Source organism: Homo sapiens, chromosome 12, assembly GCF_000001405.40.
Source record: "Homo sapiens chromosome 12, GRCh38.p14 Primary Assembly".
In the NCBI taxonomy this organism is placed as follows: domain Eukaryota; kingdom Metazoa; phylum Chordata; class Mammalia; order Primates; family Hominidae; genus Homo; species Homo sapiens.
The window spans coordinates 66,320,563-66,347,280 of record NC_000012.12 but is presented as its reverse complement, the minus strand read 5'-3'; the positions used below and the strand labels follow the sequence as shown (position 1 = coordinate 66,347,280).

General features: G+C 40.3%; 1 protein-coding gene and 1 non-coding gene across 6 annotated transcripts in view; both read right to left on the bottom strand.

Annotated features, from left to right (window-relative positions):
• LOC124903104 (small nucleolar RNA U13) lies at nt 1,459-1,562 on the bottom strand. Its single transcript, XR_007063641.1, has one exon. It is a non-coding gene; the product is annotated as a small nucleolar RNA U13 (small nucleolar RNA).
• Nucleotides 3,638-26,718, bottom strand: part of HELB (DNA helicase B) — a 41,151-nt gene continuing 18,070 nt past the window's right edge. For 2 of the 5 annotated variants that reach the window (NR_135081.2, NM_001370285.1), the window contains 6 exons: nt 25,252-25,333; nt 24,498-24,557; nt 23,070-23,298; nt 22,155-22,298; nt 15,636-16,127; nt 9,082-9,280 (listed from right to left, as the gene is read on the bottom strand). Coding sequence is in view for 3 of the 5 variants with exons in the window: in NM_001370285.1 (NP_001357214.1) it covers nt 9,179-9,280; nt 15,636-16,127; nt 22,155-22,298; nt 23,070-23,298; nt 24,498-24,557; nt 25,252-25,333 (1,109 nt within the window). In the remaining 2 variants the exon portion in view is untranslated. Of the gene's footprint in view, nt 3,826-9,068; nt 9,281-15,635; nt 16,128-21,768; nt 22,375-23,069; nt 23,299-24,497; nt 24,558-25,251; nt 25,334-26,718 lie in introns of those variants that run through there. The other 3 variants (NM_033647.5, NR_135080.2, XM_047429893.1) reach the window with 3 other exon arrangements.

Sequence of the window (26,718 nt, the reverse complement as noted above, 5' to 3'; positions counted from 1 at the left end):
CTCCGGGGCTCAAGTGATTCTCCTACCTCAGTTTCCCAAGTATCTGGGATTACAGGCACCCGCCACCACACCTGGCTAGTTTTTGTATTTTTTTAGTAGACATGGGGTTTCACCATGTTGGCCAGGCTGGTCTCAAACTCCTCGTGACCTCAAGTGATCCACCCGCCTTGGCCTCCCAAAGTGCTGGGATTACAGGCGTGAGCCACCGCATCCGGCCACAATGTTTATTTTTGTATAATTTTCTAAAGGTGAGAGGTTTTCCTATCAACCTGAGAAGCACCACTGAAGAGTAGGAACCTGTGTATTGAAATTGAGTCCAGGTTTGATTTCAGGCTCCAGTACTTATTGGTAGTATGACATTTAGTCACCACGAGTCAGCTTCTCTACCTGAAACTGAAGGTCATGTCTGTACCACAGGATCATTCGGAAGATGAGGAGTGAAATATATGAGAATGGGCTAAAAACACACACAGAAATACCTCCAAGACCAATGGTACATTTACTGTAGGTGACAAATATTGATCAAGTATCACAACATCCACCTCAGAGAAAATTACATGTATTCTATGAGACAGATTTACATAAACTGTTAAAATGTACAAACTTTAATTATGCTACCTTTAAAAATTCACATTCATTTTTATACAGTTGCATTCAGTGTGCCCACGGTTACGTTCTGAAAGGCAGAGTATTTTCTAGCACCTGAGAGTCATATGACCCCAACTGACAATCTATTATTGCAAAAATCCAAGCAACTGTTCAAATTTTTATTGCACTCTCCTCACTTCTGCATCAAGCATGAGGCTGAAGCCAAGGAAATGTGTAGTTAGAACAGACTTTGTGAAGAAAGGCAAATGAGAAGCTATATTTCATGTGAAAGACAGATATTTCAGTTGTAACCAAAACTAAAATGAATCAACAATAGAAAATGGCTGTTAAAAACAAAACAAAAAAGCTCTTATGATTTCAGGTAGCACTTTTCAAATATAGTGACCAGGCCAAAGGAAGAGCTAGGGTCAGCCAATAAGTTCTGAGCACCCCAGTCCTCTTAAAAAGGGCAGTGACAAACTATGAAATGAAAGGGTTTGGGGCTATGCCACCGGAAGACTGGCAGGAGAAACTGGAGATAAGTAGCCAGATGGGGCAGAAGAGACAAGGTCTGAACTACATGAGACTCAGGACTTATGAGCAGAGGTTCCAATGAGGTAGATTTCAGCTTAATATAAGAAAGTAATTTCCAACACCAGTGTTGCAAAGTGGTTTTCACCAAGCAGTCAAGACCTTTAGCATTGGAAATGTGTGTTCCACTGGTGACTGATGCGTGTTTAGCAAATGGTAAGCTGGGGTAGGTGACCCTTGCAATTTTAACATGCTGGGATGAAATACTATTTGCTTCCAATTCAAATTTTAAAAAGGATACTAGAAGTATCCTCTTTTACTGAAATATTTTTTTTTTCATGACAGACCGGTAATGGGCTGGCGCCATAACAAGGTTTGAGGGAGGCACATCTCACACATGCGTGTGAACACCCATGCATCAGGCTTATGAACTACAAAAGGATCTTAATGAAATCTTAGAGAATTTTGAATTGGGTCAGTTATTTGTATTTTGGCCAATAGTTATTTATAAGAACTAGTGCTTTGGAATATTCCGTTACATAGTATTAGTTTCATTGTGTTTTTATGGAAAAAAGGTATTTTCAAGTTCTTCTTGACAATGTGAAGCTTTACCTGAGGACTATACCCTGAAATATAGGCAGAGTTAAAGAAATTTTATTTCTATAAGGTTGTAGTAACCCCCCTGCCCATCGCCTGCGTGTTCCAGGAAATGGCTTATTATAAAGAACCATCCTTCCCCGGGTGACTTAGATAAGACTCACAGATGTTTATCTCCCTTCCCCCATTTACTTATAACAAAATCAGACACAGACTGTCCTGAAAATTACCATTCTTTGCTTCATAAATGAAGCAAATTCTTAGCTGAATTGCTTGTACTTACTGATCTAGAGAAAATATTAAGCTTCCTTCCCCCAGGCTTTTGAACTTTGACCAACCCTCAATTTAAGTCAGCATACGACCCCTCCTTAAGAGGCCCTCCTAAAAGTAATAGGACAAGAGTTAAAATTAATGAAATAGAGAATAGGAAGACAGTAAAGAAAATCAATGAAACCAAAAGTTGGTCCTTTAAAAAGATTAAAATTCATAAACTTTTAGCTAAACCAAGAAAAAAAGAGACTCAAATTACTAAAATCAGGAATGAAACAGAGGCTTTACTACCAGCCTTACAGAAATTTAAAAAACCATAAAGGAATACTATGATCAACTGTATGTCAGAAAATTAAAAAATATAGATTAAATGAGCAAATTTCTAGAGAAAAACTGTCAAAACTGACTCAAGAAGAAATAGAAAAGCTAAATACACCTATAACAAGTAAAGAAATTTAATCAGTAGCTTTAAAACTTCCCATGCCGGGTGCAGTGGCTCATGCTTGTAATCCCAGCACTTTGGGAGGCTGAGGCAGGTGGATCACTTGAGTTTGGGAGTTTGAGACCAGCCTGACCAACGTGGAGAAACCCTGTCTCTATTAAAAATACAAAATTAGCTGGGCATGGTAGCACATGCATATAATCCCAGCTACTTGGGAGGCTGAGGCAGGAGAATCGCTTGAACCTGGGAGGTGGAGGTTGGGGTGAGCCGAGATCGTGCCATTGCACTCCAGCCTGGACAACAAGAGCGAAACTCCATCTCAAAAAACAAAAACAAAACAAAACAAAAACTCCCCACAAAGAAAAGCCCAGGGCCAGATTAATTTAAAGAAGAGTTAATACCAATTCTTCACAAACTCTTCCAAAATAGAAGACAAGGGGACACTTCACAACTCATTCTATGTGGTCACTATTACTCTGATACCAAAACCAAACAAAGGCATCACAAGAAAAAGAAACTACAGACCAATATCTTTCATGAATTTAGATGCAAAAGTCCCCAACAAAAAACCAGCAAGCCAAATCCAGCAGCACATACAAAGGATTGTATACTATGACCAAGTGAGATTTACTCCAGGGACACAAGATTGATTTAACATCCAAAAATTACCACACTGCATCAATAAAGGACAAAACTACACAATGATCTCAATACATAGAGAAAGGATTTGACGAAATTCAATGTCCCTTCATACACAACAACCTAGGAACAAAAGAGAATTTCTTCATCTCAATAAAGGACTTAAAAGAAAGATCCACAGCAAACACAGTTAATGGTGGCAGATTTAATGCTTTCTCCCTAATATGATGAACAAGACAAGGATATTCACTCTTGCCACTTCTATTCAACAATATACTAGGGGCTCTAACCAGGGCAATTAGCAAGAAAATGAAATTAAAGGCCTACAGATGAAAAAGGAAGCACTAAAAGCATCTCTATTTGCAGATGATATGATCACTTATATAGAAAATCCTAAGGAATCCACTAAAAACCCACTGTAACTAATAAACAAGTGCAGCAAGGTTGGAAGATACAAGATCAATATATAAAAATCGACTGCATTTCTATACAGTAGCAGTAATGAACCAAAATAAATTAAGAAAATCCATTTACAACAGGATAAAAAATTAAATATTTTGAAATAAATTTAACAAAGAGCATTGTAAATTTAATAAAAGAAATACAAAACTTATACTCTGAAAACTACAAAGAATTAAAGAAGAACCAAGCATGATGGCTCACACCTGTAATCCCAGCACTTTGGGAGGTCGAGGTGGGCAGACTGCCTGAGTCCAGGAGTTCGAGACCAGCCTGGGCACCATGGTGAACCCCTATCTCTGCAAAAAATACAAAAGTTAGCCAGGTGAGGTGGTGCAGGCCTGTAGTCACAGCTACAAGAGTGGTTGAGGTGGGGTGGTTAAAGAGGTTGGACTGCTTGAGCCTGAGAGGTAGAGGCTGCAGTGAGCTGTGATTGCACCACTGCACTCCAGCCTGTCTTTCCTAAGCAAATGGAAAGACATCTGTGTTCATGAGTCAGAAGATTTAATACTGTTAAAATGGCAATAGTTCCCAAATCTGTAGGTTTAACACACTCCTGAACAAAATTCCAGTTTGCTTCTTTGCAGAAACTGACAAGTAGATCCTAAAATTCATATGGAAATGTAGGGACCCATAATAGCCAAAACAAACTTGAAAAAGAAGAACAAAGTTGAAGGACTCACACTTCTTAATTTCAAAACTTTCTACAAAGCTACAATAATAAAGACAATATGGTGCTGGCATTAGAATAGACATATGGGCCGGGCGCAGTGGCTCATGACTATAATGCCAGCACTTTGGGAGGCCAAGGTAAGCGGATCATCTGAGGTCAGGAGTTTGAGACCAGCCTGGCCAACATGGTGAAACCCCGTCTCTACTAAAAATACAAAAAATCAGCCAGGCGTGGTGGCAAGCACCTGTAATGCCTGCTACTCGGGAGGGTGAGGCATGAGAATTGCTTGAAACAAGGAGGTGGTGGTTGCAGTGAGCTGAGATGGCACCATTGCACTCCAGCCTGGGTGACAGAGTAAGACTCCATCTCAAAAAAAAAAGAAAAAGAAAAAAGAGGCATGAATCGGGCTGGGCACAGTGGCTCATGCCTGTAATCCCAGCACTTTGGGAGGCCAAGGTGGGCAGATCACAAGGTCAGGAGATCGAGACCATTCTGGCTAACACGGCGAAACCCCGTCTCTACTAAAAATACAAAAAAAAATTAGCCAGGCATGGTGGTGGGCGCCTGTAGTCCCAGCTACTTGGGAGGCTGAGGCAGGAGAATGGCATGAACCTGAGAGGCGGAACTTGCAGTGAGCTGAGATCGAGCCACCACACTCCAGCCTAGGCAACAGGGCAAGACTCCGTCTCGAAGAAGAAAAAAAAAAAAAAAAAAGATGCATGAATCAATTGAATAGAATTTAAAATCCATAAATACACCCTCACATTTACAGTCAACTAATTTTTGAGAAGGGTACCAAGATAATTCAATGGGGAAAGAATAATCTCTTCAATAAATGGAGCTGAACAATTGAATTGTCACATGCAAAGGAATAATGTGGGATCCCTACCTCACACCATATACAAAAATTAACTAAAAGTGAATCAAAGATCTAAGTATAAGAGCCAAAACTTGTAAATTATTAGAAGAAAAAATTGTAGTAAATCATCATGACTTTGGATAGGCAATAGTTTCTTGGATATAACACCAAAAGCACAAGCAGCAGCAACAACAAAAACAGATACACTGGTCATCATCAGAATTTAAAACTTGGGCCTCAAAGGACACTTAGTAGTCCATTTTCACACCTGAGACTGAGTAATTTATAAAGAAAAGAGGTTTAATTGACTCACAGTTCCACATGGCTGGGGAGGCCTCAGAAAACCACAATCATGGCAAAAGGTAAAGGAGAAGCAAGCACCTTCTTTACAAGGTGGCAGAAGGGGGTTGGGGCAGGAGTGCCATACTTTAAAACCACCAGCTATCATGAGAACTCACCATCACCAGAACAGCGTGGGGGAAACCACCCCCATGATCCAATCACCTCCCACCAGGATCCTTCCTCAACACATAGGTATTACAATGTGAGATGAGATTTGGGTGGGGACAGAGAGCCAAACCATATCAGATACTATCAGGTTAATTAAAATAAAATTCACAGAATGGGAGGAAAATTTTGCAAATTATGTTTCTGATAATGGACTTAAATGTTGAAAATGTAAAGAATTCTTACATTTTGTGATGGTTAATATTAGGTGTCAACTAGATTGAGAGATACCTGGATGGCTGATGAAGCATTGTTCCCCTGTGTGTCTGTGAGGGTGTTGCTGACAGAGACTGACATTGGAGTCAGTGGAGTGGGAGAGGAAGACCCACCCTCAGTGTGGGTGGGCACCATCGAGTTGGCTGCCAGTGAGGCTAGAACACAGCAGGTGGACGAATGGAGATAAGCAGCGTGCTTGCTGAGTCTGCTCCCTCTCTTTCTTCCTGTGCTGTGCAGAATGCTTGACTTCCTCTCCTTCTGCCCTTGGACACCAGACTCCAGGTTTTTCCACCTTTGGACTCTGGGACTTGCACCAATTGCTTCCCAGAGGCTCCTGGGCCTTTGGCCTCAGACTGAGGGCTGCACTGTCAGCGTCCCTGGTTTTGAGGCTTTCAGACTTGGACTGAGCCATGCTATCAGCTTCTCTCCTTCCCCAGCTTGCAGATGGCCTATCGTGGGACTTTGCTTTATAATCGTGTGAGCCAATTCTCTCTTATTGTGATGGTTAATACTGAGTGTCAACTTGATTGGATTGAAGGATGCAAAGTGTTGATCCTGGGTGTGTCTGTGAGGGTGTTGCCAAAGGAGATTAACATTTGAGTCAGTGGGCTGGGGAGGGCAGAACCACCCTTAATCTGGTGGGCACAATCTAACCAGCTGCCAGCAAATATAAAGCAGGCAGAAAAACATGAAAAGGCGAGACTGGCCTAGGCTCCCAGCCTACATCCTTCTCCTGTGCTGGATGCTTTCTGCCCTTAAACATCAGACTCCAAGTTCTTCAGTTCTGAGACTCCAACTGGCTATCCTTGCTCCTCAGGCTTGCAGACAACCTATTGTGGGACCTTGTGATCATGTAAGTTAATACTTAATAAACTCCCCGCCCCCCCCCCACATATATATATCCTATTAGTTGTATCCCTCTAGGGTACCCTAACTAATACACTAATAAAGTCCCTTTTATATCCACATATATCCTATTGGTTCCATCCCTCTGGAGAACCCTCACTAATACAGATTTCAGTGACAGAAAGAAAAAATATCCAATTTAAAACTGTGCAAAAGATCTGAATATACATTTCTCTAGGGGACATACAAATGGCCAATAGTCACACGAAAGCTATTTAACATCACTAGCCATAAGAAAAATGCAAATCAAAACCACAATGAAATACTACTTCATACCCACTAGGATGGCTATAATCAAGAAGTCAGATAATAATAAACGTTGGAGAGAATAGGGAGAAACTGGAACTCTCATACACTGCTGGTGAGAATATAAATTGGTGCAGCTAGTTTGGAAAAAGTCTGGCAGTGCCTCAAAATGTTAAACATAGAGTTACCATATGACCCATCAATTCTACTCCTAGTTATATACCCAAAAGAAGTGAAAGCATATGTCCACATAAAAACTTATACACAGATGTTCATAGCAGCATTTCATAATAGCCAAAAATTAGGAAATAACCCAAATAAATGTCCATCAACTGATGAATGGACAAATTCAATATCCTTTATCCATATACTGGGATATTATTTGGCAATAAAAGAGACGAAGCACTGACACATCACTGGTACAACACGGATGGAGTCTGAAAACATTATGCTAGTCAAATAAGTCCGGAACAAAGAACCACATGTCTGCAATAGGCAAGTCTATTGGGACTAGGTAAATCAGGTTACCTAGGGATGGGGGAAGTCAGGGGATTACTGCTAAGGAGTGTGAGGTTTCTCTTTTTTTTGAGACGGAGTTTTGCTCTTATTGTCCGGGCTGGAGTGCAATGGCGTGACTCAGCTCACCGCAACCTCCACCTCCTGGGTTCAAGCGATTCTCATGCCTCAGCCTCCCAAGTAGCTGGGATTACAGGCATGCGCCACCATTCCCAGCTAATTTTGTATTTTTAGTAGAGACGGGGTTTCTCCATGTTGGTCAGGCTGGTCTCGAACTCCCGACCTCAGGTGATCTGCTCACCTCAGCCTCCCAAAGTGCTGGGATTACAGGCATGAGCCACCACGCCCGGCCAGAGTGTGAGGTTTCTTTGTAGGGTATGAAAATGTTCCAGGTTGGGCACACTGGCTCACACTTGTAATCCTAACACTTTGGGAGGCCAAGGTGGGAGGATCACTTGAGCTCAGGAGTTCGAGACCAACCTGGGAAACATAGTGAGACCTTGTCTCTATCATTAAAAAAAAAAAAAAGTTCTAAAATTGATAATAATGGTAGTTGTCCAATTTGATGAATATACTAAAAGCCACTGAATTATATACTTAAAATGGGTGAAATGTATGTGAATTATATCTCAATAAAGCTATTAACCATTTATGCCTGAGGTTGCAACTTTCTGAATTTTTGCAATCAGACGTTGGTGAGGACTTTGAGCAGTGGGATATAAATAACTCTCACATGTTTAGTGTCCCAATAATGGACCACTAGGCATAAATGGGTTAACAGATATATTTTTCATCTTGACTTTTTCTTTTACCATTTAACATAAATAAAAATTTAAAAATCAAATCATTCTGAGAGAGAAAAAACCTTCCTAAGTGGAACATATTCAAAACAATGTGCTCCCAACTCAGAAAGCACTTCCAAGGAAAAGTCCCAGGTAGGCTGGGCCCCAGGCAGCAGTGATGAAGTGAGCAGCAGTCTTGTAAAATGACCACATTTCAACATCCTAGGAGGCATGTCAATAACATCAACAGATGTAATTACACCTTTTCTTTGCCACTGCTTCAACCCATTGGCAAAGGTAACACACAACGATCATCAAAGTTACGAGGCATTATCCTAAAAATACAATGTTTTAATGTACATAATTGTTTGTTTTTTTTTGTTTGTTTGTTTGTTTGTTTTTTTTTTGGAGACGGAGTCTCGCTCTGCCACCCAGGATGGAGTGCAATGGTGCAATCTCAGCTCACTGCAACCTCCGCCTCCCGGGTTCAAGCGATTCTCCTGCCTCAGCCTCCTGAGTAGCTGAGATTACAGGCATGTGCTACCACACCCATATAATTTTTGCATTTTTAGTAGAGATGGGGTTTCACCATGTTGGTCAGGCTGGTCTCAAACTCCTGGCCTCTGGTGATCCACCTGCCTCAGCCTCCCAAAGTGCTGGGATTACAGGCATGAGCCACCGTGCCTGGCTTAATGTACATAATTGTATAAAAATATATATGTATATAAAATATCTAATCTCTTCACTTATGTCCAGTGCTACCAGTTCTCATGATGACGTGTTGAAATCATTAATACTTTGATGAAATGGATTTAAAACATTTGCTAACACAAATACCTTAAAACTCCAGTTATAGGAAACTTTTTTTATCTTGGTACTTTGACGTTACGATGTTCATTTTGTCTCCAATAGAAAAACATAGTTACTCGGAACAATTTGAAATAAAACTAAGTTTCTTGATTATCGGTGGGCTTGAAAAGTTGCCTGGGAATTAAATTATTCAGTCTCAAATTCTGAAGTCTGGAAGACACTTGTGGAGATTCTCCCACCTGTTAGAACAATTAAAATAACAAAGTTAATTTTGTAAAAATGTAGTTAGTCTACCCTACGTACTTGTATTCCCTCTGCTTCAGAAAAAGAAATCATGCACCTTCCCCAACCCTTGAAAGGCTTCAGCAACCAAAGCAATTGGCTATCAGCTCCTTGTAGGATCACATCTGCTTTGCTCACTGTGGTATCTCTAGCACCCAGCTCTGGGTCTGGCATTTAGAAGTAACTATGTACTGAATTAGTATGTGTGTCTAACTTCTAAAGGTGTAGACAGGGCCCACTACATAATTTGGCAGCCCAGTCCAAAATTAAAATGATGGCCCCTTGTTCAAAATTAAGAATTTCAAGATGGTGATTACAGAACTTTTTTTTTTTTTTTTAAGTGTGGGCCTGAGTCCTGGAGGACTGCCCATGTTGCCTGCCCATGAAGTCAGTTCTGGATGTGTAAGATAAAACATTGCAATGCCACAGTCATATTCTTTGTGCTACTAATGATTCTGAAGTGGGCCAGTATCGTCATGATGAAGTTTCACCACCATAAAGAAATGAAAAGAGTAAGCACAATTCAATTTTAGGAAAAGGGTCTTTCTTTGGAATTGCCTCTCTTTTCTGCTCATGTCAAAAGCCTTATTCCAGGACCTCTGTAAGAGATGACAAGTTTAATTTCAGAAAAAGATATTTTCCTGAGATGGAAATTCTATCAAAGAGTTGACCTGGGGTACAAAATGGAACCTAGAATCAGCAGGGATTCTACTGTCCAAGAGGGGAAAAAGAAGAAACTTCCCCCTCCACCCTCAACTATGTCCATTTTACTCACTTTTCCCACAAAACCTGACCCTCAGACTCTTTTCCCAATCTGATTAATGGTGCTGGATCCACCTGTATGCCTTAGCCAGAAGTCTTGGAGTTATCCTCAGGCCCAACCCCACCTGAATCCAACTGATCATTAAGTCCCATCAGCTCTATCCTTAGCATCTCTTCTCCAACCCCATTGCTACTACCTAATGTTAGAACCTCCTCATTTTACGCAGGTTACTGAAATAATCTTTTGGCTGAGAACTCATTCCCTACTCTCTCCCTAACCATCATCATCCACTAAACCTCAGTCAATATCACCATCATAAATTTCAATTCACAGAGTACTTAAAATGCTTCTACTGTTCTCAGTTGCAATCAGAAGAATCTACGACCTCTTCAGAAGACCCTGTGTCCATCCTCCCTGCCAGTTCCTGTGTCTGCAGCCCATCCTCTCACTGTGCCCTGTGCTCCAGCCATGCTGTTCTACATCTGTAGTCTCCTAATGTGCCAGGACTCCACACACCGTGCCCTGTGTCAGACCGACTCCTAGAGAACGTTTTCCCTGTGCCATATCCATATGGGGACAGAGGATATAAGTATTCCCCATTTACAACTCAGCCTGGTTCTGGCAGGTTACACCAGCACTTTCTCCCCTGGGTTCCCCCTGTGGCCCCTTCTTACCTTTATTACAGCCTTGGAAGCTTAAAGACTCAACTGAACAAGTCTGCTGCCAGCACTTAAAGCAATTCTTACACTTCTATTAGAACCACATTTGGAAATTACTTATAATCCCACCTTTTTTTTTCTTTTTAACACAAAATCCATTACCCAAATTGGATCCTCTAACTCATAAAACCAGAAAGCAAATGCCTTTGGGTTATTTCCTAAACTCAGAATAGGTCTCAACAGAAGTTTGCTTCCCTTATAAACATTCAAAAGGATCTTTTACTGCCTCAAAAGCAATTCCAAAAGGAACTGTCAAACTAAAGGAGGGGCACTAGAAGAATAAAAGTATGACTTTCAGTACAACCTGAAAGAACAATATTCTGAATGTCTGATTTTTTAAAAAAAAGTTTCATCGCCATATATTCATGACTCATATTTTGATCACTAAGTATTTTTGAGGTATTACCATGTGAACAGCAATTGTACCAAATGTTCTAGCAGATCAAAAATGATACACTGTCCTCAAGAAGCTTTATTTACAGAGTCAAACAAGGTTACTACAGGTGCAGTACAGAAGGGGTGTGTGCCCTCCTACAGGAGTTCAGAGAAAAAGAAGCCTTCAGGAACAACACAGAAACTGAGCTGGATTATAATAAGAAGAGAGAGAGGATGGCATGAGGTGATCAGCTTGGAACTGCTTTATCTTCCCTCTGCTATATATACCCAACGTACTACACCCATTCCTTCTGGTTGTCATGGAAAAAGGGTCCTCTGTCCCTAATCCTGTCTCAGGGCAACCCCTCTAGTTATTCTCTTGATTTTTCCCATCTTACCCACGTCAGGACTCCAATTCTGCAATTATCCTCTCTCCCTGAATCATGAATTTCTGGTTCTCCATTGGACCATTCTAGCAACACACTAAGATGCCTTAATGTACCCATCCAAAGTAAACAAACCAATAAAGTTTTCCTTGACCACAAGTCCTCTATTCAGATACAACCACCTTTCCTTCTTTTTTCAGCAGCCCTCTTCAAAACCTGCCTCCACTGCTTCCTCCGCCCTTTCAGCTCCCATTCTCTCACCAGCCCCCTCAGTCCAGGCTTTTATTCCCTCCCCACAGCCCTGGTTTTCCTTCTATCTCACTCACACTCCTTTTTAGTTCCTCCTCCTCTGCCAGATCTCTAAAAGCTGGGAATACCCCAGAATTCTGTCATCAGGCCCCCTCCTCTATCTGCAGTCTCTCCTGAAATTAACTCACCTAGTCCTTGCAATATCACTACATGCCAATGATTCCCAAGTGGGCCTTTCCTACCCTACTCCCTGCTGAGGCTCTAAACTCCTCTACCAACCACGGACTTACTCAACAAGTCCAGGTACATTTCCAATTAGTAACTTAAACAACAGCACGCCACAAGAGAACGCTTTATTTCCCCAAACGAGTTCTCCTCACATCTTTCCCATCTCAGGAAATGGCACTGCTATTCCCCAAATTGCTTTAGCCAGAAATCCAGGAATCATCCTGGATTACTTTCTCTTTTACCTCATCACATCTAATCAGAAAGTTATACAGACTCCATCTCCAAAATGCATCCACACTCCAACCACAGATTACCAGCCCCACTCTTTCACTAGGCTCTCCCCATGATGACCTCCTACTGGTCTCCTCACTTCCCCTTCACTTTCCACAGTTCCCTCTCCACAGAAGCCAGAGGGATTGTTTATTTTGTATGTATGTATTTATTTATTTATTTATTTTTGAGACAGGGTCTCATTCTGTCGCCCAGGCTGGAATGCAGTGGCACCATCACAGCTCACTGCAGCCTCAACCTCCTGGGGTCAGGTGATCCTCCCACCTCAGTCTCCTAAGCAGCTAAGACAACAGGCACCCAGCACCACCCCCAGCTAATTTTTGTTTGCATTTTTGGTAGAGATGGGGTTTCGCCATGTTGCTCAGGCTGGTCTTGAACTTCTGGGCTCAAGTGATCCGCCCACCTTGGCCTCCCAAAGAGCTAGGATTACAGGTGTGAGCCACTGTGCCTAGCCTTGCTTTTTTTTTTTTTTTTTCTTTTTTTTTGAGACAGGGTTTTGGTCTGTCACCCAGGCTGGAATGGGACGTCACAATCACAGCTCACTATAGCCTGGAACTCCTGAGATGAAGCAATCCTCCTACCTTAGCTTCCTGGGTAGCTGGGACTACAGATATGCACTACCAAGTTCAGCTAATTTTTTACTATTTTTGTAGAGATGGAATCTCACTATATTGCCCAGGTTAGTCTCAAACTCCTGGGCTCAAGCGATCCTCCTGCCTGGCTCCTGAAGGTGTTGGAATTACAAGTGTGAGCCACCACACCCAGCAGGGATTGTGGTTTTGTTTTTGAGACAGGCTCTTGCTCTGTCACCCAGGCTGGAGTACCATGATGCAATCACAGCTTACTGCAGCCTCGACCTCTCAGTCTCAAGTGATCCTCCTGCCTCAGCCTCCCGCGTAGCTGGGACTATAGGTGCATGCCACCATGCCCAGTTAACTTTTGTATTTTTAGTAGAGATGGGGGTTCACCATATTACCCAGGCTGGTCTCAAACTCCTGGGCTCAGGCGATTCTCTCACCTCCGCCTCCCAAAGTGCTGGGATTACAGGTATGAGCCACCATGCTGGGACTATGTTTAAGCAGGCATCAGATGATATTACACCACTGCTTCCAGCCCTCAAATGAATTCCCACTGCAAGCAGAATAAAATCCCAACTCATTCCCGTGGCCCTGCCCATCTCTCCAACACCAGCACCTGCACCCTCTTCCTCGCTCACTAGCCACCTTAGCCAACCTTCCTCTGTTTTGTTTTGTTTTGTTTTTGAGATAGAGTTTTGCTCTTGTTGCCCATGCTGGAGTGCAGTGGTGCAATCTCGGCTTACTGCAACCTCTACCTCCTGGGTTCAAGCGACTCCTCCCTCAGCCTCTCGAGTAGCGGGGATTACAGGTGACTGCCACCATGCCTGGCTAATTTTTTGTATTTTTAGTAGAGAAGGGGTTTCACCATGTTGGCCAGGCTGGTCTCAAACTCCTGATTTCAGGTGATCCACCCGCCTCAGCCTCCCAAAGTGCTGGGATTACAGGCATGAGCACTGCACTAGGCCAACCTGCCTTCCTCTTTGAATAAAATCATTCCCTTTCCAGGCTTTGCATTATCTACATCCTCAGAGGCCCCCATGCTGCTCCTTGGTAACATTCAGTGCTCAGCTCACATGTCACCTTTTTAGGGAGGCATGACCTGGTCAAAATAGCACCTCCTGCCCACCACACCCCCTGCCATTCCCTATGTCCTTGCCTTGTTTTTCATCCTCATAGACTCTTAATCTGAAATTTGATTTTCTCTTGTATTTATTGCCTATGCTGGAATATAATGTCCACAAAGCCGGCACTGGTGCGCTTTCCTCCCTTAACATTTAGATCAGTGACTGGCAGGTTTTTATTTTTATTTTTTCAATGTTTTGCTAAATGTTTTTTTCAAATGCTGAATGAGAAGGAGACAGAAAAAGGCATTCAAGATGAGGGACACAGCAAGAGTCAAAAGGAGGATGAAAAAGTTTGATTCATTTTAGTGAGTTGAAGACACTAGCTTGACAAAAGCAGAAAAAGCATAGTGGGAAATGAAATGATGTTGAGAAAACTGGAATCAAATTGAGAAAGGTCTCAAATGCCAAGCTAAATAGTCTAGAATTTATGTTGTAGGCACCTGGGAGTCTCTGAAGCTTTTGAACAAAGAAGTGAATCTTAACGGACACCTGAAGCCTTGAATACTACCAGACCCAAATGTATTGGTTTTTCCTATACATACATACCTATAAAAAAGGTTAATGTATAAATAGGCACAGTAAAAAGTTAGCAACAATAACATAAAAAATAAAGCAATTCAGTAAAATAAGGATCACTTGACACAAGCACTGCAACACTGAGACTTACTCCGATAACTAAGATGGTGGCAAGTGACTAACAGGTGGGGAGTGTCCACAGTGTGGACACACTGGACAAAGGGAGGATTCATGGAATGAGATGGTGTGAGATTTTATCACACTGCCCAGAATGGCATGCAATTTAAAATTGACGAATTGTTTATTTCTGGAATTTTCCATTTAATATTTTTGGACCACGGTTGACCATGGGTAACTGAAACCTTGGAAAGCAAAACCATGGAAAAGGGGGAATGCTACATTACGAGAATGGGAACAAGAAAGGGGAGGGCAGCCAGGTCACCAATCATCCAAGAAGATGGTAGAGAGTGAAAGGAAGGCGAGTCCATGGTGATTCTAAGACTTTAAGCCATGTAACTAGGAAGATGGTGATTGAAATGGAGAAATTGGAAAAGAGAGTAAGATTCTGGGCTGTGGTTCCAGAAAATCAATTTCTGGGAACAAAGATGCAGATTAGGCAGCTGGTTCATTAACTCCTCTTCAGTGCCAGAGCACTCAGCAAATCACCACATTACTGATAGCCGACTGTCTCCACCATGACAATCAGTGTGAGAGTGAGAACTGTCACTCACTTATCTCTAATTCCTGGTGCCTGAAATGTTACTATAGTCAAAACTTTGTTAGCCAAATCACTGGTGCCAAGGAGATGGCTGAAACTGTGAGAATGAGTCAGTTCTCAAAGGAAAAAAGAACTGAGCTTTGGGGAGTTGTCTTCAGTTAGAGGCTGGGAAGGAGAAAAGGAGTGAGGAAATGAAGGGGAAATCAGACAGTGAGGTAAGGGAAATTTGACAGAAATGAGAAAAACAATTGTTTTTAAGTCCAACAGCACAATGCAACACTAATAAAAGCACACAGTCATTTATAAGCACACCGAAGTTAGCGATATTTAAATAAAACTTGGGAACATGGAAACATCACTCCTACCATAAAAATTTTGCTTGGACTTTCATCATCATTCACACCACAGGTTCTTTTGGATGCTCGCGATTTTGGTAAATCATCATCTGTATCTACTCCATCAGGTGAAGATAATTGCCATCTTTCAGCAAAGGTGAGTGTCCTCTCATCAGGCGAAGAGGCCTCGCTCCAGGTGACATCATTTGTCATGGCGTGGTCTGTGACTACAGGGAGTGGAGATGCTGACGGTGTGCTGGGTCCTCCACTGTCTCCAGAGCTCTTCCGTGGGGACGGAAAATCTGCTGGAGGTGCGCCGCTAGAGGAGAGCTTACTTTGCAAGAAATGTTTCAAACGAGTTTTTCTAGGAAAACTGTTTTTCATAATGGCATTCCGGAGCTGAGACTCCTCTGCAATCACATACACTCGGCAGCGGCCCCTGGTCACGGCGGTGTAGACATGCTGCCAGTGCTGGCGGCCCGCCTTCCCCACCACATAGACAACTGTTTGCTCCTCGGACCCCTGGCAGGAAAAATATGGTGTGAAGACTAAATGCTATAAAATAGGTTCAGACAGTTTACAGACAAGGAAAGGAGACAAGTGTTCAAAGTGCTCTCAAGCACTTCTACCTGGCCAGACTATTATTATGTGTCCATTTTATGGGTTCCATTTTTATTCATCCTCCAAGAACTCTAAACACACTGCTAAACATGCTGCTAAGTTCAGGTTTCATAGGTCCACAACTGGCTTGTAGAAACCCAGCAGCAAATTTTAAAGACTGCATGCAGTATTAAACCTTTCCTAATAAAAGACTGAAATGATGGTACAGGCTTCATGTGTAAATGTGTTAACCCATTATTACATATAATGGCAAAATATGAAAACTTTAAGTAGCCAGTAATAGGTAAACATATAGATATATTATATATAAATATATGTATAAAAATATTACATGTAATGATAAAATATAGAAATTTTAAGTAGCAATAGGTGAATATATATTATATACTTATATATATAATATATACACAGTTGACATACTATTTTGTGAACATCAGAGATACTTTAAAGCCACATTTTAAAAACCATATATATATCTATATATATATATAGACAGATAGATAGATACACACACACATAGAGAATGGTCAAAACTGTATAGCAATATAGTTACTCTGATCCAAAACAAGTATATAAAAAAAGAACATAGCTATGTACAATGAAACAAAACAAATCACAAAAAAAGAGAGAAATTCTACCAAATTTTTTATTAATGTCTCCAAATGGAAGGCCTATGGATGACTTTTTTTTCTCCTACTTGTCTGTATTTTTCCATTGTTGGGCAATTTATTTCTTTTATCAAGATAAAAAAGAAAACAATGAACCTTTGTCTTTTAACAAAAAATTGGATAGGCAAGAAAAATACTCAATATCACCGTGTAACTGTAAGAAAACAATTTCAAGTTTGAGGGCTATTCTTAGTCCTATATTCTGAGTCAGCGGATCCAGTGCCAACACAGACAAAGAAGTGGTTTGTACCATTATCTCCCCCATTGCTCTGACATTGCTCCTGCCAAAGGAAAAATTGTGGGAAGACAACTGACAAGATGGGGCAAGTAAAAAATACACATCCGCTGCAAATAAACTCTTGCTCAGCAAGCTCTTCTATCTTCGTAGACAGAGAGTTTGAAGCAGCTCCTCAGATTGTAAAAGTTTGATAAATACATCTTTCCGATGTTGCTGGGTCTCAGAAATTGACATAAATGGTATTTGATTACATACATTTCCACAGATATATGGCACCACTCTTCACCTTGGACTTTATATTGTACATTCTCAAATATGAAAATGTCTACCTAAACTCAGCTAACCTAGTTCTTAATTATTAAGCAACACTGAGAAAAATATAGTAATAATAGTAGATATACTATTATTAATACTTAATGGTCTCATTATCAGTCTCCCTGTACCTTCTCTTGCCCAATCCATCATCCTCATGGCAGCCACAGTGATATTTGTAAAATGCAAACCCAATCATATTAGATGCTGCTTAAAACCTCTAATGGCTCGCAGGGACTCCAAATAAAGTCCTAACCCCTTAATGTGTTTGTAAAGCCCTTCAAGAGCCAGCTTGGCCCTGCTCCTCTCCTTACTTTTTTCCCTTTCTTTTCCATGAACCATGCTCCACCCAGCACAAGGGACTTCCAGGTCCTGTCAGCATTCCTCAGTCCATGGCCTCAATTTGGCCCATGTCTGGAGTAGCCGCCCCATCTATTACTCTCCAGCACCCTGTACTTCCTCTATCACAGGCTGGAAGCTCCATGAAGGCAGAGCTTCACCTTTATCCTACTCACTGTTCTTTCTCCAGTGCCTCACTGAGTGAATGATGATTAAAAATTAAAATGTCATGCTACAGGAGCCAAATATCTGCTGTCCCTGGAATTCTGCACTCCAAGATGGTACTTAAGTCTACCTCAGAAAGTAAGACACCTAACTTCACCTTGATAACCTGCTATAAATAATTTCCTCATTGCTTTAAATCTCCCTTGAAAATCAGAACTGTCAAACTGCTTAAGGAAGTAAGTTTCCTATATTTACTTTTAATTATGTATATGTCTATTCTATAAATTGGTTCTACAACTCAACCACTTGTATGAAGAGCCACAAAATCTTCAACAGCTCCCCATTTCACTCAGGTAAAAGCCAAAGTCCTTAAAATAGTCTAGAACAGCACTGTCCAATACAAATATAAAATAAGTCATATATGCAGCTTAAAATTTTCTAGTAGTCTCATTAAAAAAGAAATGGATAGAATTAATGTTAATAATATACCTGTATTTTACTTAAGCTAACATATCCAAAATATCATCATTTTAACATATAATCAATATTAAGTTATTAATAAAAGACTACATCTTTGAAATTCTATATTTTATACAACCAGAACATTTCAATTTAGATACTAAATTTTCATCAGAAATACTTAATCTATTTCTAGAGTTCATAAAATTTGTAGTTGAAAAAGAAGATTCACATACCCAAGTTATTCCAAACATAGTTTTTCCAACATACAGAAGTTTTCCAATGACTGTATCTAGTAACTTTTGTTTTGTTTATTTGTTTTTGTTTTTGAGAGAGGGTCTCACTCTGTCACCCGGGCTAGGAGCTCACTGCAGCCTCCAGCTCCCAGACTCTGGAAATCCTCCCACCTCAGACCCCCGAGTAGCTGGGACCATGGGTGCATGCCACCATGTCTGGCTACTGTTTTGTATTTTTTGTAGAGATGGGGTTTCACTATGTTGCCCAGGCTGGTCTTGAACTCCTGGGCTCAATTGACCTGCCCACCTCAGCCTCCCAAAGTACTGGGATTACAGGTGTGAGACACTGTGCCCAGCCTAGTATCCATTTTTAAAATTAAAATTTAGTTTTTCAGTCACTCTAGCCACATTTCCAGCGCTCAATAGCTACACGTGGCTAGTGGCTAACATACTGGATAGTGCAGGCCTTCAAATGCCCTAGGAGGTGACCTGGCCCCACCATCCTCCTGCCCTCTTTACCTCATATTAATTTTCCTGTCTCATTTCCTGTCAGTCTCCCACAGTGGCCACCTTGCTATTCCTGCTTCTCAACTATACCAGACAGACTCTCACCTTAGAACCCTGCCCTTGGTTATTCCTCAACCTGGAATGCTCCTGTCCCAGATACTCACATGACTAACTTCTTTTCCTTCTTCAAATCTTTGGATAAAATGTTATCTTCTCAATGAGGCTTATATCGACATTCTATTTAAAATCACAATTGCACCCACTCCCACCTCTTTTCCACAGGATTTGCCACCTTCTAACATAACACAGAGTTTTCTTTCTTGTTTTTATTTTTTTTATTTTTATGACTGTGTCTGTCTCTATCCCCTTTCCCACCAAATTTAAGCTTCACAATGGCAAGAATCTTTGTCTGTTTTATAGACTGACCTGTACCAAACACCAAGAACAGAGTCTCACTCAGTAAGTATTTGTTGAACGGAATTGAACTTGGAAGAAACAGTGTGTTGATATAACAATCATGAATGTTCTTAGAGCTAAGAGATGCTACTTCAACCATGAAATAACCAGAAAGATATCTACTCCAACCTCAACCCAGTAATAATAAAGACACCTTTACTCTTCATTCGTTCTTATTAAAAAAAACTGGATTATAAATTTAAGGAAATCTCTCAGAAAATAGAGCAAAGTGATGAGAAGGAAAATAAGACAGTTTGATAAGAAATTTAGGTAACTACTTCTGGAAGTCTAATATGCACATATTAGGAATTCTAGAGAGACAGAACAGAGGAAACTGAGAAAAAGAAAATTTCGTAAAGGTGAAGGATGGCATCATAGAGATCCACGGAAGAAATTCTTCAGGACCCAGAGCCAGAAATATTACACTTTTACTCTCACTTTACCTGGGGAACTTTGGTCTTAAGGGAACTTAAAGCCAAATCTGCAATCGACATTAGCAAACAGGGAAGCGGGCATGGCTGCATTCCAACCACCCCTGGCAAGAACCATTTTATCATCCTTATTTTTCACTTGACATCCTTTCTATATAAACATATATATATATATATTTTTTTTTTTTTTTTTTTTTTTTTTTTTTTTGAGATGAAGTCTCCCTCTGTTGCCCAGGCTGGAGTGCAGTGGCACAATCTCAGCTTGCTGCAACCTCTGCCTCCCAGGATCAAGTGATTCTCATGCCTCAGCCTCTCAAGTAGCTGGGTTTAGAGGTGCCCACCACCATGCCCAGTTACCTTTTTTGTATTTTTTAGTAGAGATGGGGTTTTACCATGTTGGCCAGGGTTGGTCTTGAACTCCTGACTGCAAGTGATCCACCTACCTCGGCCTCCCAAAGTGCTGGGATTACAAGCGTGAGCCACCACACCAGACCCTTTTTTACCTTTAAAAAAAAAAAATCAGCTGAATTGTGGGCATTTTTAATAAGCCATTTCAAATTCTTTTTGGAATCGAGATGGGGTAAGTTAATAAATAAAGCCCCACCCACTTAAAAAAGAAAACAAAACTCTATGCTAATTAATGTTTGTTTACTAGTAGAAAATTTGGGCTGACCTAAATTTTTCTGCATAAAAATGAGGGTTGGGCCGGGTGCAGTGGCTCAGGCCTGTAATCCCAGCACTTTGGGAGGCCGAGATGGGCAGATCACAAGGTCAGGAGTTCGAGACCAGCCTGACCAACATGGTGAAACCCCGTCTCTACTAAGAATACAGAAATTAGCCAGGCGTGGTGGCATGTGCCTGTAATCCCAGCTACTCGGGAAGCTGAGGCAGGAGAATCACTTGAACCTGGGAGGCGGAACTTACAGTGAGCCAAGATCGCGCCACTGCACTCCAGCCTGGGCGACACAGCGAGACTGTCTCAAAAAAAAAAATGAAGGTTGATGCAACCTCTCCATTAAAGCAACATACCAACAGCAGAGAAGGAAGCTCAAAACAAAGAGATAAATAAGAGACTCACTAATAACAGATGAGAATTCAAGGGCATTAAAATAAAGCATAAAGGCAAGTTGCACTAAACTCAATATGCTGTCCTAGAACAGCAAAAGGACATTAATGGAAAAACTGGTGCAATTCGAATATGCATAGTTTAGTTAGCAGTCTTACAGCAATAGTAATTTCTTAGTTTTGACAAATATGCCATAGTTATAAAATGTTAAACACCAAGGAAAGCTGGGTGAAAGGTATATGAAAACTCTCTGTAGTATCATTCCAACTCTTCTGTAAACCTAACAATATTCCCACATAAGTTGGGGGCGGGGGGATAAAAGGTTGCCTCACAAAGATGGAGAGAGAGGATACATTTGTCAAAACTCAACCAACTTTATAATGAAACTGTATGCACATTATACCCCACAAAGTTGATAAGGCAAAAAATAAAAAATAAAAGCTAGTTGCAAAAGTATAGAAACATGATTACACCATTTACATAAGCCTCAGTAACACAGAAAACAATCATATATATTGCTTCTACATGAATAGGAGTGATATATACCAAATTCGGGGCAGAAGTCACTTTGGAGGAAGGCGGGAGGCAGACCCAGGACTAGGGCAAGGCAAGTGAGGAACTCACCTCCAGTACAAAATTTAATGGGTTCCCAAGAAACTCAGCAATCAAGATAAATCAAGACATTTTAATGTAACAGTTTTGTAAATCAAAATTAAGGCACAAAAGGATCCATGATGAACAAAATATCAGAATTTAACCAAAGATAAGATGAGTACAGTGCCATGCCAAGCCATACTGGAGACTCAGGCAGGGAGGGGAAGACCTGAAGGAGGAGACTTTACCTATAATGCCTTTGTTTCTAAAAATAAAGAGAGCTCTGGAGCAAAAAAGAGCAAAAGGGTGGCGTCTTCTCTATTATGTTCTGTACTTTTGTGTATTTTGTTTCCTAATTTTTGTTTGCTAATAAGTGCAACAAAAATTTACGAAAACAATGCAAGGCGCTCTAAGGTTGGTAAATTATTTAAAAGGTTTGATAAAAGTCTCCTCTTACCTGAAAAGTGTGAATAGTTCTTGCCCATGCATGTTTTATGCGACAATATTTCATTAGTTTCTTAAAATCCACAGTTACTTCCAGGCCAGCCATATTATTAATGGTCAAAGATCTTCTCTTTCCAAAAGTTACATCAGTTACATCCTGTCACCAAACCAAAGAACTATTTTGCATACCTTCAAATATGTTCTACGTTCAAATACGTTCAAAGATATTCTATCTTTGGGTCAAACATAAAATATAAGAATTACAATTACCATTAAGAATTTCAAAAGGCTTAAAATTTGCATTTCAGCACAAACAATATATCTATACCTAAATATTTTAATAAACACAAATAGAAGTTTTCAGTCTTTGAAACTTATCTTCAATTTGACTCTGTGAAGAACAGCCTGTTATTTCTTATTTTGAAGTCTATACATTCATTTCTTGTATTGACTACATAAGTCTGAGTAGATTCTTTGCAGTTTACTTTTCCTCACAGCTTTCAGTGAGGGTATCTACACTGTGAGAACAAATACAAGGCAACCACTTCTATAGTTTCTACATTTAAGCAGCAACAAAGGAAATGATGCTTTTTAAAATCTATGTCTCATTTATGCCTTGTTTTTTGTTACTCAAGTACTTCGATTTTATTAAAAATGTTTCTTCATAAAATCTTCTAGAAAATATAAGAAGAAGCACTTCCCAACTCATTTTCTGAGGCCAGTATTATCCTGATATTAAAGCCAGACAGGACATTACCAGATAACTACCCATATCCTTCATAAACATGGATGCCAAAAATCCTTAACAAAAAATCATGAAACAAGAATGTCAACTGATATCATTAGATTCTGAATGAATCCTAGGACAATAAAATAACCAAACATATCTCTAATTAGTTAAAAGATATTATCTTCTGTTTTCACTTACATTTGTTATGAAAAATATCTCTCCATTGCACAGTCGAACGTTACTTTCAAAGTCACGCTTATTTTTAGCAAAATCAGGAAGCGTACCAGAAAAGTCTTCACTACTGGCATCTAGATCATTATTTTGCTGACTTCCAGAGATATTTTCAGGTAGTAAGTCTGAGAGGTATGCATTCCTGGTACAACAAATTTTATCACCAATTCCAAAAACAAGTCTACTCTGATGGTCTCTGGGATAGAAAATGATAATATATAATCAAAGTTTGGAAAGTCTCCGTTTCACTTGTTCAAACATTAACTACTACTCAGACTCGTTTCAATTTTCAGAATAATTTCCACATTTTATTTACAACACTTTCATTCTCCAATGAGCAACAAGAAATCAGGTTCCCATAGCTGTCATCTGATTATTTATACATACTCCCTGCAACGTCTCAAACTCAATGACATTTCCCAGTCAAATTTTTTCAAGTTAGAAATTTTGGCTTAAATGCTGATGTCTCTCTTTCCCCTTATATTCTAAAGGTTAACACAAATTTTGATTTTTTTCCTTTAAAATTAATCCTCTGCTCTCCAATCTCTCTTATCATTACCTTATTTGAGGTCTTACAGCACTTATACACATTTCTATTGTAATAATTATGGCACTATATCAGTACAACAGCAGCAAACTGAAGAAGTGGTGGTGATAGGCCAGCTACTGCGCTAACTGCTTTAGGTACATTATTTCATTTCATTCTTACTACAACTTGGTAAGGGAAATTCTGTGTCCATACCCGCTTTTATAGACGTGGGAGAGGGAAACGACCTGGCCCATCATCACAGTTACTGGGACCCTGGGTACATGGCCTCAAGCCCATGCTTTCTGGCCTCTTGTTGGGCTACCTGACAGATTTTTGTGTAACTTCCCTCAGCAGACAGGCACTCCACCTATACCTTATACATATCTAGGATGTCTATACTTAGTGCAAAGCAGGTATTGGTCAATTCAAGAGAAATGAATTAATTTTTCCTATGTATGACCACAGTGGCTTGTCTACACTCATATTTCTCTGATAGACAGACACTCACTAAGTTGCTCTCTGCAGGCACCCTGTTGCTAAGATTCTCAGAAACACTACACACATAATTTTTAAAATTCCCCTGAGCTCCCCATGCTTATCTTGGAGAAGCTGAAGGCTGCCAAGGTTGAAACCAAAAAAATTTCACTCCTAATTTTTCTTCTTATTCCACTCATTACTAAAATGTCAATTCCCAAGGATGTATTCATATATTGTATTTAATTGAAGAGATCATTCTATTTCACAAATGGGAAAAAAAACTATTTTGGGAATATATGTAAATAGGTGACAAACATCAAAGCAAAAAAAAAAACCAGCAAATCGAAGAAGGACTGTCCTTAAAAGTTTCAGTTCTCGAAGACACTCACTTGGTGAGGTGGCCTGTGTAGTGTTTGCAGCAGCAGTCATTAATTAGATCACAGTCTTGCCTGAAACACACGAAAATGCAGGGGTCACCTTAATGGTCTCTGCTACAGGTTTACTTTTGTTATCAGCAATTATGACATACTAGATTCTACAAAACGTTTCCAAGACTTTCTCCAGGAAATAGTATTTTTCTACTTTTTATCTTTTTTTTTTTTTTTTTGAGACAGCGTCTCGCTCTTGTTGCCCAGGCTGGAGTGCAATGGCGTGCTCTCGGCTCACTGCAACCTCCACCTCCCGGGTTCAAGCAATTCTCCTGCCTCAGCCTCCCAAGTAGCTGGGATTACAGGTGTGTGCCATGACGCCTGGCTAATTTTTGTATTTTTAGTAGGCAGGAGGGGTTTCACCATTTTGGCCAGGCTGGTCTCAAACTCCTGACCTCAAGTGATCTGCCTGCCTCGGCCTCCCAAAGTGCTGGGATTACAGGTGTGAGCCACCAAGCCCAGCCTGTATTTTTTATCTTAGCATAAGCTTTTGTTCCATTCAGAGTCCCTATGAGCTTCTAAATATAATACTTGGTGGAAAGAGCTCTGTTTAGAAAGCGCCCTCTGCCATGTCTAACAAAGACATACCCCAAAATAAGAAAGAGAATTAACAGTGATGAAATATTGGAATCTCCCATCCAAACAGGATCTATATTAATAAGTTATGAGATTTAAAAGCTAGATTAAAAACATTAAAATATTATAAATGCTTTACCTTCTAAATGCAATAAATTGTGATGTTTTTGCATTTTGTAAGTTATTTTCTTGTAGTAAAGTTTTAACTGCAGAATATAAACCTAATAATTCAAGAGAAAAAAGTTAACACAGCAAATCACCAAATTATAACACAATTTCTATGAAGAAACTAATCTGGGATTCCTGCTAAGGGCCCTGGGAAAATATCTCACCAAATGGAATACAAGTTCACCATGGGAATGTCAACCTCATTCCCCACATCAGCCAGGGCAATAGGAAAGAGAATGGAAAGAAGGGTTCCAAGACAACCCACCCTCAACAGAGAGGTCAACCCCTGGCCAGGACAGTTCCCCATTTGTAATAGACTCACTGTGTATTTGCTGATGGTTTATGAACACTGAATTTAAGAAATAAACAAGAGTACAAAGTGTGTAACAGCATGACTAATGTAAAACTTCCTGTTTTAAGTCCTTGTGATCATGTTAGTAATCAGTTAGAACTTGACAATATACAGGCCTTATATGTTATATCACTTAATATGCAGGACACCCACATGTGGTAGGTGCTCTTATATTCAGAGCTGATATTCAACTGGCACACACTTGTATAAAACATAGCAATACTTCCATATTAGCTGGAAAACAGCCACTCCCCTAACAACACAATGCTCTACTCCCCACCCCAACCATCTCTTTCCTTCTCCCCAGACCTCCCCATGATCTAGCAACTAAAAGGTTAACCCTGGCATAGCGGGGGCATCCATTCCAATGGTGCTCATGCCCTACAGCCATTGGGTAGTCTGACTTCTGATGACATCCATATTATGAATGTGAAAACTAAGGCTCATGGAAGTACAAGCATTTTCCCATGTATGTTTCCCTAATAGCAGATGAATCACAAGGGAATGAAAAAGCCCATGCCTTGTGATGCCCTGCTCTGGGAAGACAAACTTAGCTGCCTGCTGAGCCCTTCATTTTTCAGATGAAGGGAAGATTACCGCTAGAAAACAGCCAAGACTCAGCTCACCCTCAACCAACCCCTGGCTTCCGGAACAGGAATTTCCAAAGGTCTCCCAGCATACTGTTCTTTTTAACATGTACAGGATGGCACTGTTCCATACCTTTTTTCACTTTCCCCACATCTTGCAGATCAATATGTACAACGTATTTTATTGATTCTAAGATATACATTTTTCTCACATTTTAGCAACTCTGAAATTCTAGCCCAAATATGAATCCTGTCTTAGGTCTTAGTACTTTGTAATAATGGGCATAATTTACTTAATAACTTAATAATTAGTGAAAAAGTACTATATGCTTCCTAAGGAATATTTACTCAATTTCCTTGAAGAAGAGACTAATTTTCCAGCAGAAGTTTTTAATTTAGAAAAGCAGTATCAGGTAAGCTCTGCTACCAGTCTAAAATGGACAATTTTTTTTAAAAGTACATTCTCATTAATGCAAAGAATGGGTACCAGAAATAAAAC